This window comes from Homo sapiens, chromosome 18, assembly GCF_000001405.40.
Source record: "Homo sapiens chromosome 18, GRCh38.p14 Primary Assembly".
Lineage (NCBI taxonomy): Eukaryota > Metazoa > Chordata > Mammalia > Primates > Hominidae > Homo > Homo sapiens.
The window spans coordinates 39,622,193-39,637,827 of NC_000018.10; the positions used below are offsets into that span (position 1 = coordinate 39,622,193).

At 37.2% G+C, this 15,635-nt stretch overlaps 1 long non-coding RNA gene across 1 annotated transcript in view; it reads right to left on the bottom strand.

Moving 5' to 3' along the window:
- Positions 1-15,635, bottom strand: part of MIR924HG (MIR924 host gene) — a 545,072-nt gene that overhangs the window by 415,269 nt on the left and 114,168 nt on the right. The window lies entirely within an intron of this gene.

A 15,635-nucleotide genomic window follows, 5' to 3' on the forward strand; every position in this document is an offset into this window, starting at 1 on the left:
TGTGGGTGGTCAGTTGAGGAATTTTCACCAGCAATCTATCTTAGGATAAATAACAGAAACTGGTTTAGTTTGATTGCAGAAAGAGGTCCTGTGACACTTTTAAAACATTTTCCCAAGAATACAGAGTATGTGATCCCTTCCTCACCCAGCCTTGGCTGCCTGGTTCTGTTTTAACCTTGAGCACCTCAGTTAGCCAAGAGAAGTCCATTTTGTCCATCAGCCAAGAGCATATTTTAACAGTGTGTGGAATAGAAACCCAAACCCTAAGTGAATCCTTCTTTATATGAGTCTCTTTGTACCATTTTCTCTACTCTCCAGCTCAGACATGAATTTAAATTTTCCTTTTTGCCCCAATTTTTATCTATAGATTCCTCAAAGTAGTCTGAGGAATGTGAGGTATGTAACATTTTTCATGCCCAGAGAACCATGAGCATGAGACTTCACTCACCCTCTCATCCCACACATCCATGCTTGGAGGGTAATTGTTTAAAGGCATTTGGTTTTTTTCTTTCCTTCCGTGTAGTTTCCAGACTAGCTGATAAACTTCCTAAAATATTACCCCAAGTTTTACAATGTGACTCTCACCTATTTTCTTCATGTTCCTGGGATTTATGATACAAAGAATAATAAATAGTCAACAGCTTATTATTTCAATAAACAATATACCTTATTTAAAAAATTTTTAGGAACTGCCTCTAACTTCTACTTCTTCATTTTTTCTTTGAAAATCCACTTGGAACTGCTGTAAATGCTAACAGCAGCATATATTCAGGACTACTTGAATCTATGACTCTTGGACAGCAGTCCTCAACCTTGGCACAAATAAACTGTTCAATTATATTAATTTTGCTTCATTTTCAACCTTTAGGTGCACAGAATGTTAGAATAGGTAGCTAGGCAGACATGAGCATGGCAGGAGAGGGCCTTCTACCCCGTGAAGGGCAACCATAGCTGGTGCCAGGAAATGGCAGTCTCCCAAAAGACAGAAAACACGCGAAACTGGTGATCAGTAGCTTCCTAAGATCTCAGGAGTTTGGTGAGCAGGCTTAAGTATGCACAGTAAAAGGCAAAATGGTAGAGTTTAATTGGTATATGACCTTCCTCTAGGAACACTCCACTGGTAAGGGAAAAATGCCTCAAATGAGCATGTGCACAATTGCAGTAAACACTGTGCATGCAGCCCCTCTCAAGTGCTGACAGACCACTGCACGTATGTACAGATAGCCAGCCCAAAAAAAAATCAAGGGAGATGAAATGCAAACCCCAGAACCACGCCAATGTATAAAACCCCAAGTCAAGGGTCGGATGGAGAGCACGTGGATCTCTCAAGTCACCCACTTGGCCCTTTTCCATGTTTACTTTACTTCTTTTCATTCCTACTGTAAAACTTTTTAATAAGCTTTCACTCCTGTATTCCTAGGCTTACTATGACTGATCAATAAAGGTCACTGAGATTCAGATCATAAGATTTAGATGGGTAAATATGGCAAATATTAGGGTATTTTCATTCTTTCCTCTGGGAGTCAATGTTATCTCTCACAAATATGAATGTTACATTAATACTAACTGACAATATTAAGACTGTTAAATGAGCTTTCCTCTATCCCAGCATCTTGTTTTGAAGCATGGTGTTCTAGGTGTTAGGAAGTAGAATTTTACATACTCTTTTCTTTAAAGGTCAATATGACCTATTATTTGATGGAGAATTTCATGTTAACACAAACAGATTGTTGTGAGGAAAAGTTAAAAATGCACACAGTTTTAAAATACAACGCAAGATTCAAAGAAACTAAATGTTTGTAAACTATTGCTTATATCCAAGTACTTGAATCCCTGATAGTACGTTTCCTTTTTTCTGACTTTAACAAAATAATAGCATTTTCTGAGCCCTTACTATGTGCCAGTCACATACTTAATCCCTTCATACATCCATTATTTTATTTAATTCTCACAACAATTCTAGGGTGTAGGCATTATCACTACCATTTTAGATGTATGAAAACTGTTCATAAAATGTTAAGTAACTTAGCTAAAGTCATCAGTAATGTATAGTATTCAGATTCAAAGTCACGTTTATTTGAATCCCAAGATCACTTTTCTTGGCAGAATTAAATAATTAATTTAAGAAATTGAGAATTACTGATTACCAATCACAGTAAGAATTAGAGGTTTATATGCCTTGAGATCTCAACTTAGATCTTCCAGAAATCAATTTTAACATCTGGACAGCTAGTTAAAGATACTGTGCCAGAATAAAACCTAATTTCCAAGTAACAAACATTTCCTTTTAAGTTTGATTAATGATAATTATTATGCCAGGATACACTTAACTATGTATTAAATGAAATGATTAGTTTAAATCATGTAAGCCTGAGGATGAAGAACAAGACTTGTATTGTGTTAACTCCAATGAAAATAGGACAAAGGTGACTTTATGCTTGATTTAACTAACCTGTTTGCATATTGGCTTGCAGTTTCATACAGGTTACATAAGATTTAAGTGCTAATCATGTTCTGAGGTTGAGGAATGTTGTTGCTGTTATAAATGAATGTAGATTCCCATCTCTTCCCTCAACATGCTCTTTCCCTTACCCTCCACATCATCTAGTCCCATTGCTTTAAAAAGCATCTATATATTGTGATTCTTCAACTCATATATCCTAATTTTCTCTCTTTTCAGAACACCAAATTTAAACATTTTACTGCATCCTTGCCCTCTCCATATATAAATCTGAAGTGTATCCACGCTTTGTGTAGCCAAAACAAGACTACGGATAACACCTCTTCCTACCCCAACCTAATCAGCTTCATTTCCACTCTCAGTTTCTATCTGAATACAAATTATTCTAAGGTAGAGTCCTTACTACCTAATAGAGCTGTTTCATCTGTCAAGAATGTGCCTCCTCCTGATATCTGCATTTCGTCTTAGCGTATTTGTTTCTTTTTAGCATTGTCAAGGAATGACTCAAAGATACTTAGTTGGAGTGTAATTGAATATGCACATATGTGAGGGAGCTCAATGCTGTATAGATCATCTCTCCAAACAAAGATAAAGGACGAGTTTATAAAAGTGAAAACTGCAGACTATCTGTGAAACACAGTCCTGTATTTGTTTGCTATTTATTGGCCTGTTTGGTTGTTGTTGTTGTTGTTGTTTTCCCTTGGGTAAGCTGATTGAATGAAGGCCATTGAGAGGGCAGTTTGCCCTTAATTAGGTCCACATAGTTGTCAAAGAAAGCAAAACCAATTTTTAAGGTTTTTGAGAAGCCTTGTGATTTCAATTGGTGTGTTATATCTCTATGCATGGGTGATTGATTGTATTTTGGTCAATACCTAAACCTTATTTAGGCCAGACTCACACCATTTTCCTTCATTATAATTTATCATCATTAATATCATAGCTCATATCATCCTCTGAGACAGACTTTCTTTGAGCCATCAGCAATGGTAGCTACACATTTCATCTCTTTCACATCCCCTGACTTAATTTTCTTTACTGAACATAACTTGGTCTGATTTTAAAATGTTTAACCATTGATTTACTTACTGTCCCCTCTTTCTCCATGAAATGCACGTTCCAAGAAAGCTGAGCTATTTTCCCCCAAGAACAATGATAGAGTAGATGTTGAATACATATTTATTGAAAATCATGATGACTTTTTAAATGAATAAACATCGGCCATCATGTGCCTTACCTTAGGCAATGAGTTCCAGACCCAATTTTATAGTATAACATTTCTTAAACTCCATCCTATCACCACACTCTGCTCCTGTCACCGTGGACTCTAAGCACTATACTTTCTTCACCATTCTGATGCTTGTGTGTATCTAGCTTCTAGCTTGTGTGTGAAGCTAGAAGATCTAGCTTCTCTTGCTTTGTTCAACTCATCCATCCAGTCTGTAAACCCAAACATTATTTTTCTTATAATGGCAACAGTAATATCTAAATATATATTTTATTGTGAAAAACCTCAATAACTGCAGACATATACAGAACAAACTTTAAGCCTATTCTCACTTAAACACCAAAATTGTACAAATCTCATCAGAGGAAATTGCTGTTAACAATTTAGGCTTCATCCTTCCAGACAATTTTTTCAAATGAAAGCTCACATTTCTCATCAGTGTCTATTCCTCACAAGTCCATCTTCCAAGGAAAGCTTCCTTGATTCCCAGAACAATCTGGCTTTTCCTCTAAGATAGTCTTTTGGCTGAATGGCATATGGCTTTGAACTGAAAATTAACTTTTCATCTAAACAGGACATTTTATCCCATTAAGACTCTGAACTCTACTAGAGGCAAGAAGATTTCTTGTACTTTGAATTTCCCACTGTCCTAGGCACAGTGTACTTTTTTTTAATAAAGAAAGTAGATATCTTGAAATATCTGTGAGATTTGTATAGAGAAAAACTGAAAGTGTGGCATACAGCCTGGAAATCATAAAGAACACATCCAACTAAGTTCAGCTCTATTATGCGCTTTTGTTATCAACAATGCTTTAGACTCTGTGGGCTATATTTATCTGAAATAGAGGTTATTATTAAAAAGTGTTTTTATATCATCTTCAATACATGATTATTTTAAAACTTGTTTAAAAATGGGATTAAAATAAAAATGCATCTTTTTAAAGTTTAAGAATTTTTATAATCAGATTGAAACAGGAAAGTTCCCTGACCACCTCATGGCACATGAGACAGGGGTGTGGCTCATTTGTTTGTCCATCCCATGCTCAAAGTCCTTATAGGAGGGGGAGCATGCAGGTGAGCAGGTGCAGGAGTCTGGGTGAGTGGTTTTAGGCTCCGTCCTGTGGCAGTGTCTAGGGGTGTTACAGTGCTCTTTTAGCCTTGCCATTCCGGAATGGCTTAAATGTTAAACAGTTCAGTGAAAGCTCAGTGTGACATCCTTTTTGGGTTCCCACACCCAGTGCATCCTGAATTCTTGTCCAGTGTCCGGGAAGAATCAGGTCACACAGACTTGAAGGATGGCAAATGTGGGGATTTTATTCAGTGATGGAGGTGTTTCTCGGCTAGATGTAAAGCTGCAGAGGGGATGGAGTGGGAAGATGATTTTTCCCTGGAGTTTGACTTTCCTGTGGCTTACCTCCTCTCTGACTGTCCCCAGCCAAACTCCTCTCAACATTCAGATGCCTCCTCTCTTTTCTCCTTCTCTGCCATGCCACTCTGCTGCTCTGCTGCTTGTGGAGCCTGGGGTTTGGAGTTTATGTAGGTACAGGATGGGGGGTGGGTGGGCATGGTGGGCCAAAAGGCAACATTTGGGTGCAAAAACAGGAATGGCTTTTCTCATTTAGGGCCATGGGTTTTCAGGCTTGAGGGTGGGGCCTTTGCCAGGGAACCATCCTCTTATACCCAATATTTCCCTGTATCCTGTCCATACCAAGATTATTTCAATATAGATCCTCAGACCAAAAACTCTTGAATAGCTATCTCACTACTATTTTGGTTGCAGACATTGATTTTGTTACTTTCTTCTTTTGGAGAGATCTGGTTAGTTTATTATTGTTGTCTTTTTATTTTATTATGCTATTATTGGCCAAATCATCAGAGAAAATATGTGAATGCATGAGAGAACTAAAGATTTATTCAATTTAATCAAAGTCTAAATAACTTGGGAGTCTGAAAGGATACACAGACACAAATTTAAGATCTTATAAATATATATGCCTAAACACATACGTATAAATTATATATATAAAAAATATATATTTTTATGTATATATCAAATGCCACGTGTGGTCTTTTTGTGTAGTGAAAAGATTAACCAACATTTAGAAGACTTATTTTGTAATTCCAATGCTGACCTATACTCACTGTTCTTGTGACTTGGACAGCATCTCTCTTGGGAAGTATTTCTCTCTTGGGAAATACTAGGACAGATAGTTTATCCAGTTGGCTACGCAGCTAAACATGCCCACACAAATATTCAGTGTTTATGTTTGCATATATGTATGAATTACTGATGTGGTTTGGGGGTAACCCCTCCCAAATCTCATCTTGAATTGTAGTTTGTATAATCCCTATGTGTCGTGGAAGGGATCCAGTGGGAGGTAATTGAATCACGGGGGCAGTTATCTCCATGCTGTTCTCGTGATAGTGAGTGAGTTCTCATGAGATCTGATGGTTTTATAAAGGGCAGTTACCCTGCACAGGCCATGCCTTTGCCCCTCCTTCACCTTCTGCCACTGATTTTGAGGCCTCCCCAGCCATGTGAAACTGTGAGTCCATTAAACCTTGTTTTTCTTTATAAATTACTCAGTCTTGAATGTATCCTTAGAGCAGTGTGAGAATAGACAAATGCAATTACCCTGGTTTCTGAAGTCACACTTAGAACATATTTTCACTGAATATACTATTGTTACCTGACTTTACTGCAAAACCCTAGGCTTACTACTTAATTTTATATCACTCCCTTCAAAACTAGAAAAAGAACCTTTTTTCCCTTTGACTTGTGGCATGACTGCCGGCAACAACCTACTGCTGAAGTGCCTGAGTAAACAGAGAATAGGAGATTTCTTAAACAAGTGAATTATTTAAATCTGCATATGCAGTGAGACCTGTTAGGCAAAACTTCTGCTTATAAGACCCCCAGGCTCTTAGGAAGATATTTGATATGTAATTTCCTAAACTGCTTACTGTAGTTTTTGCATCTTATTGTTTATTTTGCACGAAATTGTATTGTCAGTAGGAATGTTCCCAGAGAGAGCTTTGATTGAAATATGCTTGGATGAGCATTAGGCTTTTTTTTTTTTTGCATGTAATAATATTAAATCTTCAAGTTATTGCTAGTTGGATATTTGCCAAGATTTGAATACAAACGGTTTCTTTTTCGTGTTTTCATTCTGTGTGGTTCTTTTAAATAATGCACATTTTCCCCTGAGTTAAGCAAAAAAGATGTAAAAATAAATGATATGTATTTAATTAGTAAACACAAATATTTCTAACACATGCCCGCTCCATTTCTAGGGTAAGAGAGGGTTCCCCAGATTCCTTTGTTCTTACAGCCTCATTTTTCTCTGGCTTTCTAGTCTATGGCTACTGGCTTTGAAGTCAACTCACTTTGGGCCAAAGAAAATCTTATATTAACCTGGTATATTCAAGTCAATAGGTTAGTAGGTACCAAACACTGTATCTGACAACCTATTGACTTGAATATGCAGGGTCATGAAGCCTTAAGAGTTCTTGACAAGGCTGTTTTTCATTGCCCTGAACTCTGGCTCCAGGACCCTGCTCTTCCTGGTATAGGGAGCAGAGCAAGTTTTCCCACATGAGACCAGTTTTCAAACATAACTGGCCAATCACTGTTGTAAAACCAATCATTCCTAACGCGAGAGATCTGTCAGACAGCACCAACACACACACACACACACACACACACACACACACACACACAGAATGTATTTTTTAAATATAAGAATTCACACAACATTCTGAAACATTTCAAATATCCTGACTTTTTTTTTTCTCCTCAACTTTTGGTTTTGGTTTGGTTTGGTTTTCGCCCTTCTTCTCTTTCTTCCTTCTCCTTTGATACTTTGACTTCTTTCCTTTCTCTCTGCCTCTTTGTTTCTCACTATTTTTCTGTCTCTTCATCTCTGTTCTTCTGTACTTTTCTCTCTTTCTCTCTTCTTTTTCTCCTTGTAGGGACATTTTTAAAAGGCACACCTTCTTAAGGTTCCATCTAGTCTCCTTCCTTTTTCTACCAGTTTCTCAACTGACAAGAACTGAGTTATAGATGATGTCCTCAGTGGCCTACAAAAGGCAAATATGATAATATACAATTCTTGGTGTAATTATGGTCTAAATAGTTTTAAAGTGGACTGAAAACTTGGTGCCTAGTTTGCAGGAAAAGTACAAGGAAGAAGTAGGGAGCAGGTTCCTTGCTGTTTTGCCAAGCATTTAAGTTGAAGTCCAACTCTTTTTCCATATTTACAGCTTCTCTGTTCTACAGTAATTTCTCTCTCTGTATGATTCCCTATTATTTGATAATCTACAGCTCATAATTGAACTAGTCTATGATTTTGTCATGTGTCTTACCCTTGATCCAACACACCCCTACAGTGTAAAATGTATTCTTTGGGAAAAGAACTGATATCATGTCTTGCTTGTGTATGACTAGGCCACATTCATGTAAAAATTCACCAAATATTTTCTCAGTGATTAAGTTGTAGTTCATTAATGTCCTAATTATTAATATTTTTATTATGTGTATAGTATAGGAACAAATAGACTCCGTCCAAGTTAAATCATCCTTTGTTATGGATCTCCATGTAGCCAAATACTTTCTAAGTGAAAAAAGTTCTCATCTCTATTCTTTTTCCATTGTTGACAATATTATAGCCTCTTTTTTCCTCCACCAGGAAGACGTAAAAAGTAACTACCATATTCATTTTCGTGTGGACTTCCAAGTTCTTCAGTCACACACCCTTTCTGAGAGCAGGTCAGTTTTCTAGATGACTTGCAGTAAGAAAATTTACTTGATCACAAACCTGTCCCTGATCTGTAGGGACTGGAGAGTTTAAAAAATCATTTCAAGGTAAGTATACATTCAATTGGCTGTTGGAAAGAAAATACTAATAAACAGAATGAATCATGACTTAATTTGAATATTGTGCTGATTAGCTTCAGGTTTGGTATTCTTGATAAGTCTCTTACCATTACCCTGGTAATTGAACACTGGCTCCAGTAATAAAGGTAGGGCCAACTGTTCATCCAACAACAAACCAGGAAGGAATTAAGAGCTTGGCAATAATGATGCAGCTTAGAAAGTAAACGTCTTGCATTTTGGGGGACAGACTTATTTCTTGGGATTAGGAACCCATTACAATTTTTGTTACGTGTTTTTCTTTCACTATGAGCTTTAAGACTGCTCAATCAAGCTGTTTCAATGTTCTCATCTCCCTGTCCTCATTACTTTGAGCAAAAGATTTATTGTTCCCTACTTTGGAGGGTGTTGCTTGTATGCAATTATGTTGGCTTAATTGTAGTTCATTCTTCTTCATATATTGTTGTGTGACCTCATGCTCACTTTATTGTGGGATGTCGCTGTCAGGCCTAATCCCTGGAAAGATGTAAGTACATTAGAATTCATTACAAAAAGAAAGAAAAACACAAATTGGGGTGGAAGGAAGCTCACAAATTGGGAAGTAGCTTAACCTGCTGCTACTGCCTTGGGAGACAAAAAAAAAAAAAAAAAAAAAAACCCGGGTAAAATCATCTCCAGTGCAGCCTTAATCCACATCTGCAACCTCACAGTCACCAGTGTAAAGTTCTATCATGGAAAAGACTAAAGTCAAACTAGGGCTAAACTTAAAAATGGTAATATGTTTGTCTCCCTTCCTTTTCTATTCTTTTGTTTCTGGGCTTTCTTCAACAACACACACATTCCCCCTCCACCTCACACACCCCACCCAACCCCCAGCATTAGAAACTGTTATTCTAGCCCATTCCTCCAGGATATCAAAACATGATTTCAGGCAAGCATCAGAAACTCATTAAATATAGGGTGGCCCTGCAGTGGGAATGCCTGTTTTGTGTGTCTTTACCTTGCACATAAATTGGAAGTCTTGCACAGGCACAACTGCTGGGCCTCAACCCCAGGTTTTTTCACTGAGCAGTTGTGAAGTGTGGCCTAAGAATTTGCATTTCTATGAAGTTCTGAAGCAATGTAGATGCCACCAGTCTGGGGACTAGCCTTGAAGAACCAGTGAGCTACTGATCTACCTGCTTTCTTCAAATGTTAGCTTAATTGACACAAGAAGCCCAGTAAGAGCAAGTTGGCCTCTCAGCACAGCCTCCAAGCCTGGCCTTTCCTGGCCTTGTCCCTTACTCTGAGAGGTGAGCTTGCTCTTTGGGAGGATAGCTCTCTGATAACCTAATTCACCACCTCAGACTGACTTGTGTCAGCTTGCTGCTCCTCCTAGTAAATATCTGCACTTCTAGGGTAAGTGGCAGTGGTGGTTGTGGATGTTGCTACCGGAGAAGAATGAATGTCTTAGGATACAATTAAGTGACAGAAGAAGATAGGTGATATTGCTGGAACAGAGCAGACCTACCACATGACCTATTCAGGCTGAGCTGAACTCTCATGCAGCCATTCCTGGGCTTCTTAGACTTTCCTTCCCACTGCCCCTGTTGCACAGGAGCTCAGACACATAGCTTTATGATCCAGGAACCAACTAGGGTGTCTCAGGATATCACTTTGTCTAAAATTTCATGAGATTCTTACTCATCAACATATATGTGCTCTTAAACATATATAAAATGGTATTTTGAATTTCTGACTATTGGATAAAACTATATTTCATTCATGTATTTCTCCTTGTTACCAAACTCTTGGAAGGTCTATTGTAGTTTTAAAGTTTAGACTTACTCCTTGTAGTGTAGACTTGTTCCTGCTGCATCTGTGTGAGCCAGTTGCTGCATGGATTCCTTAAACTTTTGTGAGTCTCTCTATAGCCTTCTGCCTTCAGAGTTCATGCATGTACTTTTTCTTCCATTGTTTCAGGTATAGCCAACCTATACGGGGCAATTGGACTTACTGTTTTTAACTATTCATGTCCCTGGACATGTAATCAAGAAAGTGGAAGTTGAGAAATAAGGTATTGTCCTCTGATTTCAGAGGAGACAGAAGCCCTTGCTAGCTCCATCCTCCAAACGCAGGTTTCTTGACTAATGTCTGAAATTCCAGTGTGCCACTTAGCTCCTATTAATGTGCATCCATAAAGCCTAGCCTAGTGCTTGGCATGTAAGATATTCAATACGTGGCCGAATAATATATAAATAAGTGAATTTACTTATCCTAGGGGTTCAATTAAAAAGACATTACCTGGTATTCTTAGACTGCTGGCACCTAGGGCTGATTTTCCCTTACATTCCAACATGATGAAGGCTTTAAGAGCAAGCTTTGATATGTAATTGTTCCTCAAGGGGTATTCAAGGTGGGAGATGTGGGAAAAGACAGGGACACAAAAGGTACATTTTTAGACCCCAGATTTGACCCTCAGGCGGACCCTCCAGCGGTCTCCACCTGTCATCATCCTACTCTGGTTTCTGCCTCCTCTGATTTGAACCTAAGACTGTGCCAGTTAGCTCTCTAGCTCCTATCTATGGTTGCTGAGAATATAAGCACTAAAATACTGACTAGATGTTAAACAGAAATTCTATATGTGAAATGTCATAGTATAGTGCCTGACCCATAAGTAGTCACTCATCCATACTTGATTCTTTTGAATCAAATCACTGTCCTCCTTGGACCCCTGCCATTCCAACTTTTTCTGCCTCTGTGTTTGTTAATATTTTGCTTCTAATCTGTGATCTACTCTGGGGAAATTCCCTAGGATTGAGCCTGATGAGGGGATTGGTATAAGGCAGAAGAAGAAGGGAGATGAGAGCATAATGTAGTGAAGTCCAAAAAACTTGAGCTAACTCAGAAAGTTGCCAGATAATTGATCCACAGATAAAAAGCAGATAGAGATTCTGGGCTAGGTCCATTAAAAAGGATATGACTGTGGAGTGGGAATTTCTACCCCATCTTCAGGAAGCTTAAGTAGGGAGATGACATTTAGCCTGTGTAATTCTTAAATATTAACAAAAACATGTTTCGGTCTCCTTTTCAGCTCATTCTCACTGTCTCCTCCTTTATCTTCTCACTCCCTCCTGTCACCTCACAACCTCAAGTCCCACTCAGACTCATTACTTTAAAAACCCAGCAAGTGATTCTATTCTCCCCTTTTCTCCTGTCTTTGGTTACATAACTTCTCTGACTCAAATGTTTCTATACCACATCAACTTTATTTTTTTTTCCAATGGATCATGCACAGACCACATCTTTTCTTTCTTCTCTGTATTTTTCCAGAAATAGTTCAGGTATTTCCCATGAGACAATTTTTCACAATGTAAACGCATCCAGTTCAATTTTATTTTTCCCCTGCTATGTTAAAACTCTGTCCCAGTTAACACAGTACATTTTCTCTCTCCTTTTTTTCTCACTCATTAACTATTTTATTCTCATTCTCATTATTGCAATCATGATTCCAACAATAGGCTAATCATAAATTGAAATTTTAAAGTATCGTTAGTGATATACCTGTATTAAAGCAAGGACATCATACAATTTGAAGCAGCAATTAGGAATAATTGAGATCCACTGCCAATAACATTTAAACCCATGGAAATGCCCATAAGTCCCCTTTGAAATATCAGCAAAATTTCTACCTACCTCTTCATTCTTCTCTAATTAAAAAGACTTGCTCAGTGTTAGCATAAAATACACATAACAAATATATTATTTGAATTTTACATTCTTTGTTCTATTGAATTACTAGTGTAGTAAAGACATTATATTTTACACTGTTTTATTTTACATTGTTTTATTTTGAACATACAGCCTAATGAGTTAATTAAGCATTGGAATAGTCTTCCAGAAATGCCAGTCACTATAATTAGTATCATCCCAATGGAAAAATAGAAAATATTACAAATAATTAATTTATATACAAACTTTCAGAAAATAGCTGGTAGTTGTATTCTGCTGAGATGATAAAGTTACCTTTCTTCATTTTTTTTTTTTTTGCCCTGTTTGATTGCTGAATGGCTTCTAAAAAGTATCAGATTTTATTGTACATTAGGGGTACACTGAATGATTTTGGAACAAGTTGAGTGTTAACAAATGCAATAAAAGCAACTAAATTATTGAGCAGGAAATGCCTTTTGACTTCTTAGCTGGAGAAAAATAACTTAGTTAGAATTTCTGGTATACCTAGAAATGAGGAAGATGAATTCAGCATCAATAACGGATATCCAAATTTATAGAGAAAAACCAAAGGCAGGTTTGTAAAGTGTTAATGAAAAAACTAACCCAGAATCAAAAAGTGGTATCTGTGTCTCAAAATGAAGTCTTCAGAATATTTGCATAAATACTATTCACTAAATAGTTCCCTATAACTTTGAGTTTAGATATGGCCACAAAATGTGTTGTATCTAAAGAAGAATAAATAGAAGCATGGATTTCACTTCTGGGTGGAAGTTTCAAGGGGATCAGTCCAACATACTTTCTTTTCCTATGGTAAGTCAGCCTCTAGCTGAACTACATTTGTATATTTAGGAAAGAAAAAAAAATAACTTTAATTGTTCAAAGTCCCTGAGATTAGGGGTTTGTTTGTTATTGCAATGGAACCTAGCCCATTCTGACTAGCAAAGCTCAGTTAAAAGCCCAGTTAAAATATAAATTTCTGGGACTGCTCAGGTTCATGAAATAATACATTCCTTTTGTTTTGTTTTTCTTTTTAACTCTAAGCCAGTTCAAATTATATTCCAGCTTACTAAGACAGCAGTGTAACCCATTTATTACCTGAGGGAGTAACCTCAACCAAATTACTCAATTCTTTGGAGTCTCAGTTTTCTCATCTGTAGAACTTCACAGTGTTTTCATAACAGTTTAAGGAGATAATCCATGCAAATATTTTAGTGCATTGCCACACTCAATGTAAGTAGTTTTATTAGTGTTAATTATAATGCTTAGACATTTAGTAAGACAAATATTCTGAAAGATATAACATATTTTGCATTTTTCTGTTAAACACATATAACTTTCAAAAGTATCCATTGTTTATTTTCTGTACTGTAACAGTCCCTCTCTAAGTAACTATATGGATGATAAAGATCTGGCTAAACTGCAATTTTTTTCCCTATCTTCTAGGTCAATAACACTTCCTGGTTATTATTCCTGGGATATTCCTCTTGGGTAAAAAGACATTTCTGTTTTCTTGAGAGCTCAATGTTTTTCCATATCACTAAAGTCTGAAGTGTAGAAAAAAAAAACCAGTTTAAATTATTATTATATTTTTGGCTTCTCACTACAGTAAAACATAATTTGGCTGAAATAATGAGATTCAATTGCTCATAAGTAAACTGTAGCTTAAACAATGACAGTTGGGCAGTATTTGTTGTTGAGTCTCCTGTTTCAGCAGCAAGCATTGTTATTGACTCATTTTTGACATATTTTCTACAGATTAAGAATTTGGTAAAGGGGCCAAGAAAAAAAATACCAGAGTGCTAGACTGAATTCTAACAAGGTGAAACTATTCTACACTAAGCTCTGATCTCCTTTTCAAGAACTTCTTAACCATAATTTAGCAAACATAGATTCACTATGGAATCTATGGAAAGTGACACAACTATCTGTTTTTTGTATTACATATTTTTCAGTTTCCAGATACTAGATTAAAAAATTTTGATCTGCCTAAATTCTAATTAATATGATTAAATTTCCTTAGAAGAGTATGTTATTACTTCTAGTGTATTGGAAGGCAAATACCAAGGCACATGAGTTGCAAATGACCTTTACTGCACTGAGAGATTTACTTACATGTGACACACTGGTTTACTGACATTCTCCATCCCTGTGTTGTTTGAGGCATAGAAAAAGCAAATAGATTTCACTTGAGTGACACTTCTAAGTGAAGGAAGGTCATTTTAATCATCTCCAATCTTCTTTTGTGAACCCATCTCTAGACTTTTAAATGCCTGATAATCTTTTCACTTGGTAGCCGTTATTCTGGTATGGTTATAAAAGTCAGAAGTAAAAGTCCTATTCCATAGTGTCTCATAGCATCTTTCTAGAAACAATAAACAAAGCAAAACAAAACCCTGTAAATTTGGGTAGGAAAGTAGGGGTTCAGAACCAAATAGATATTCAGAACAGATAATGATCCTGTATCTGGGTTCCAGAAGTCCTCTTCTGCCTCCCTGACAAGCAGAACAGACCTTGCTTCAGTTTCTTATTGATATCATTTATGGGCAGTCTTGGTGGTGGCAGTTGTTTTGGGGATGAGATTTTACCTCTTTAGGAAAATGTCCTGACAGGCAGGAGAACTGCACATGTTGCCAGGGAGGCAGAAAGAACAAAGGTCATCCCTCTGGTTGCCCACCCACTTCATCCTACTGTGAACTGTGGCCCCTGACTTTGGCTTTATCAGATCCCTCCTAGGCAAAGCTTCACTGTCTTTTATCTAGTTCTTCAGAATTTAACTTTTCTGAGTGAGAGGTAACTAGGTGCTATGGTCTGAATGTTTGTGCCTGGATGATTCATCTGCGTGATAAAACCTTGGCCTGCACAACCCCTTATTATAATCCAGACATTCGTTTCTATGTTAATAACTCTTTCAACTAATTACCAATCAGAAAATCTTTAAATCTACATATAACCTGGTAGCCTCCTCCCACCCCACTTTGAGTTGTCCTGTCTTTCCAAATCAAAGCAGTGCACATCTTACATGTACTGATTGATGTCTCATGTCTCCCTAAAATGTATAAAACCAAGCTGTACCCTGACCACCTTGGGCACATGTCATCAAGACCTCCTGAGGCTGTGTCACAGGTGCATCCTTAACCTTGGCAAAATAAACTTTCTAAATTGATTGAGACTTGTCTCAGATACTTTTGGTTTATACCCTTATAAAGGAGGCATGAGGGAGATTTTTTGCCCCTTCTGCCATGTGAGGACACAGCAAAAATGTTACATCTTTGAAGCAAAGAACGAGCCCTTACCAGACACTGAATCTGCTAGTACCTTGATCTTAGACTTCCAGCCTCCATAACAGTGAGCAATATATATCTGTT